We start from the raw sequence: 5347 nt of genomic DNA on the forward strand, positions 1-5347 counted from the left end.
AAATTAAAATATTCTAACCATGTTAAACATATTATTGTCAATAACTATACTTAACTATACTGGATATGAAAATGTCCCTATTCTTAGGAAACAAACGCTGAGTATTTAGGGGCCAGAGACCATGTTGTAACTGACCCTCAAGTGGTATGCGTGCCTATGTATATATATCACTCTTTCATAGCTGTGACCAGCTAAGAAACTAAGATTTCCTGCACAGGAGTTTGAAAGTCAACGTGAAGGTCACAAAATTCCTATGAAGCAAGTATCATTTTTCAACTCAACAACAACTTTAACACTGAGGATGCGAAGAACCACTGAGTAGAAATTACACAATTAAACTGTTATACAATTTTCCAAGCAAGGGGTATGTTGTGGCCAACAGCATGAATGACAGCAGTTACTAGCCTCTTTCTCCCCTGCAGCCTCCTCTATCGAATGTGGAATGCCAAGGACCCTGTCAGCCTCCCTTGCAGCTAGGGGTGGCCATGTGACTGGCTATGGCCCAAGGGATGGAAGAGAATACTTGCTGGGGCTTCTGAGAAAGTTTCTGCTTTTCTGATCAAAGGGATAGCCAAGAGCAGAGAAGCCTCATCCCCACTCTGCCACCCATCTCCTTCTTGCATTTAGTGTGAATGGGATGCCTGAAGTTTTTGACAAAACAAGCCTGAAGATATAAAGCAAAAGACAGAAATAAAGAAAAAAACCTAGATCTTTGCAGACATCATGGACCAGCTGACCCAACTCCAGCAAATGCTTACCACCGTACTTGTTATGTGAGGAAAAATATGCTACTTGTTTAGTCACTGAGAGTCAGGGGCCTGTTACTTACAGCTACATGCATTACTAATGCCTACTTATTCAGAGGCTGGGGAAAGGCAGAATAAATCAAAAGGCTGCACACCATGCCCACCCCTGCAGAGGAAGCAATTCCAGAACAGAATGCCCATTTAAAACCTGGACCAAATGGCATGTTTAAGTTTCTAACAGTTTTCATTAACAAAAGTTAACATACAGAACTCCTACAACAGAAAGCATTCAACAGTGATTTAAGACCTGGAAAGGTCAAGAAATCCACTAATCGGATGGGTTTCAGTGGAAACATCGTCTCTGGGTGTTCTGCCAAGAGTGTCTGTTATTGCCAAATTCCTCATTCAAACCCATATATAAGAATGCTTTAACTGAAACGCAGAAGTCAAAAATAAGACATTTAAACAGTAATCTCCTGTCTCTCTTAAAGATAAATGTGCCCATTAGCCCTGGCTGCTAACAGGAAGATTTCTTTCTCTTACATTCCAGATGACAATTTTTTTCAAGCCATTCACAAAGAAATCAGCATGGAAAAAATAATTTAGGAGGTTGGCTCCTGCTCAGCTACCTCACTGAATTAAAGTGCAATCAAGTTTATAACTTTTAAGTGGAAATATTAAAAATGTGTATGAAGCCCCTCTGCATAGGGTCCCGTGCAGACATGGAGAGAAATGGTAGCCAGGCACCAAGATACACAGGATGCCACATGCGCTCTGTGGAGTTTCCAACCTCGTTAGAGCAGGACAAGATACATATGAAAAGTTAAATGACATGTTTCAGTAACAGTTCTAGACAGTAGAAGAGATATCATAAAACAGTACACGATTCATTGCCAGAAAGACAGTTGCTGACAATAACTGCTGCAGGATTTCAAAGAAGAAAAAATCACTTCAAGCTCAGGAAGGTCTGGGGAGACTTTACAGAGAGGGCGGGATCCAACTCAGTGTTGAAACATGCATGGAAACTGTGGATGGTCAAAGGGAGCACAGGAAGAGGCTCTTAAAAATGCTGGGTTTAGGCCATGCAAAGTGGCTCACGCCTGCAATCCCAGCGCTTTGGGAGGCCAAAGCAGGAGGATCACATGAGCCCAGGAGTTTGAGACCAGCTTGGGCAACACAGTGAGATCCCGTCTCTACAAAAAATAAAAAATAAATAACAATTAGCCAGGGAATTAGTGTGGAGATGCATGTCCATAGTTCCTGCTACTTGGGAGGCTGAGGTGGGTGGATCACTTGAGCCCAGGAGGTTGAGGCTGCAGTGAGATATGATCACGCCACTGCCCTCTAGCCTGAGCGACAGAGTGAGACCCTGTTTCAAAAAAAAGAAGGAAAAAAAATGTTGATTTTTAAAAAAGAAAAATCCTTCAAGGTAGGTGACTGGTGCAGGGAGGAAGGCCGCTGGGTGGCTGAGGCAGACGGGGCCAGGTTGGCGAGGCACACTGCACATTCAGGAAAGGATGGCTGCAGAAGATGGGAGCGGCCCAGGTGTCCATTGGTGCGTGAATGGCTAAACAAAAGGCAGTATGTGAACACAATGGGCGATTCTTCGGCCTTCAGATGGAAGGAAATCCTGACACAGGCTACAACCTGGATGTACCTTGAAGACATGATGCTAAGTAGCCAGTCAAAAAGAGAAAATTCTGTACGATTCCACTTATATGAGGTACTGAGAGTGGTGAAATTCATACAGAAGGTAGAATGGTGGTTGTCATTTCTGGGAAGGGGGAAGACCGAATTACTGTACAATGGGTATGGAGATTCAGTTTTGCAAGATGCAGAGCTCTGGAGATGGATGGTGGTGATGGCTGCACAACACGCATGTAATTAATACCACTGATCTTAAAAATGGCTAAGAATGGCAGCAGCCAAGCGAAGTTGTAAAGTGGGCTCCAGAGAAGAGATTGGCAGTTGGCTACCAAAAATAAGGGCAATACCTTTCTTCAGGCCCCAGGCCTGAGACCCTCGGGCTCCACACCCGAGCGGTGAGCAGACGGTATGCTTTTCTTTCATCAACAGAGAACCCTTCCCCTGATTTTCTTGGGAAATACTGAACTCATTTTAATTTAATGAAGGACTTGTAGAATTTTTTTTTTTTTTTTTGAGACAGAGTTTTGCTCTTGTTGCTCAGGCTAGAGTGCAATGGCGCGATCTTGGCTCACCGCAACCTCCACCTCCCGGGTTCAAGCAATTCTCCTGCCTCAGTCTCCTGAGTAGCTGGGATTACAGGCACACGACACCACACCTGGCTAATTTTGTGTTTTTAGTAGAGGCAGGGTTTCTCCATGTTGGTCAGGCGGGTCACGAACTCCCAACCTCAGGTGATCCGCCTGCCTCAGCCTCCCAAAGTGCTGGGATTACAAGTGCGAGCCACCACACCCGGCCAGGACTTGTAGAATTTTTTAAAGTCTTCGGCCTTGGAATCAGGGTAAGAACCCAGCTCCTGCGGACTTCGTGTCTGGTCCCTGCCCTCTCCCCAGGGTCTTACTCCAATGGATACAGACACAAAATAATAGACAACCCAATCACACAGAAAATAAAGTACAGGTGGCACCTGCACGGCTCAGGGATGCGGGTGGCAAGTTTGGGCTTCATCTAAGGAACTTGTCTAATATCTAGCTATCCACTCTGTTCTAACTCTCACCCAAGAGCCATCAGAGAACCCAATACCTGGTAGGTACTCAGTAACTATTTGAGATTCATATACCCTCACGATGAAATGGCTTTAGATTCTTCCAACAGTTCCGAAATAAAAGTCGAGCTAGCTAAAGGTATCTCCAGAACAATTCTGGGGCACCCTGCTCTAAATGTGACTCCTGGGCCCAGGGTTATTTTGCCGGCACCTCTGCAGCCAGTAATCCATAACTCTAGTCATCACGGTTCCCTGACAAGAGAGCTTGCAAAGCACCCCCACCTTGAGTTCTGGTCCTTCCCTGGAGCTTTAGACAGGCTTCCTGGCTAATGATTTGTAGAAACTACCATTTTTAGAGTGGCTTTACTTTAACAACAACAACAAAAGTGAACTATAAATATTAAAACTTCTTATCAGCCTCGCCAATGAGAAAACTCCCTCCCTGCATTCCTCAGGCCCTTTTGCAACAACCTAAATATTTTTAATCCTCAGGTAGATACAGACATTGGAAGATCAAAAATTACACCAGGGCCACAGGAACTTCAGCTCACCGGGCTTGCAAGCCTACATTTGTATTCATGAGCTCAGCTTGTATGCTTGTTCTCTTATTTTGCTTCATTTTTAATTTAGGAAAAGATGGCTAATATATTAGATCACTTTCACTGCTGGGTCTTGTCAGGCTTCAGAAGTCTTTAAGGACAGACTGCTAAAAGAGTAAAAGGGAAGAAAGCAGAAAATGTGTCAGGGAAATGGAGTTCCTATCATTTCACTCACAAATTCTGCCTTTTAAATGTAGTCCTTCTACCAACGGTTCAGTGAAAGATGGTTTCCTTATTGTCATTTATTAGCCATGACAGGCAGCAACATTGGCTCAGATACAGTCTCCCTTCACCACAATTATCTAGTAATGCCTGCGAGGCAAAAGACTGCACAAAACTCCCTCCTTCTGGAAAGCTTCTCCCCAAGGCACCAGTTCAAAGCAAACCTCTATTAACTGGAACATGAACATCTGCAGAATTCTCTGGATAGGACAATTCTACTATTCTTATAGTGATCCTAGAAACGAAGACATAATCACTCACACTCCAGTCACCAGGAGACCAGGGTCGGTTCATAGGTGGAAGCATCACAACCCCCCAGCGACAGCATCTGCCCCCAAATAAACACCCACAACTGACCTCAGTACCAGGACTCCCCTTTTAGCAAGGACCCTTCCTGTCAACCTCCCCTCAAAGACAGAAAAAGAAAAAAGTCAATTTTTTTTCACTGAAACTGAATGTAACAACCAGACAAGATATAAGATAGTATCAAAATTACATAAATTAGATGCCCTACTGGCTTATCAGCCCCTAGACATATTTATCAATGTGATGTGATGAAAATGACACACTCCATCCTAACAGGACTCACAACTCTTGTGACTTGCGGCAATAGAGAAATCTCTAATTTTCTACCTTTAAGTCTACTGATTCTTTTTTCCACATACCTTTTGTTTTATGTATTTTGGAGCAAACACAGGGCGAGGAGTTTGGAGGAGAAAAGAGAAGGAAATTTAGGAGAGAAGAGAAGAGAGACTTGGAAAGAGGATAAGGTGAGAAGTCAGCAAAGGGCAGAACTCAGGACTGAAGCCTTCCGGGAGGACAGAGGCCTGGGCCCTACCAGATAGATGGCCACACCTGGGACCAGGGGCAGGGTACACAGGAGAGAGCGTAGGGCTAGCGGCTGCCTTCGCATTTTACATAAATCTGATCCATAAAGCAGCCCCAGACATCAACCCTGGGGAACGCACACAGCTTGGGCATCTCAAATTATTCTTTGAGCATTAAAACATATGTAATATGCTTCGGAGACAATACAGAAAGGACAGGAGCAGAAAATTAAGCATATAATTATAATAACATAAAAATGTACA

This window comes from Homo sapiens, chromosome 4 (assembly GCF_000001405.40).
Source record: "Homo sapiens chromosome 4, GRCh38.p14 Primary Assembly".
Classification (NCBI taxonomy): domain Eukaryota; kingdom Metazoa; phylum Chordata; class Mammalia; order Primates; family Hominidae; genus Homo; species Homo sapiens.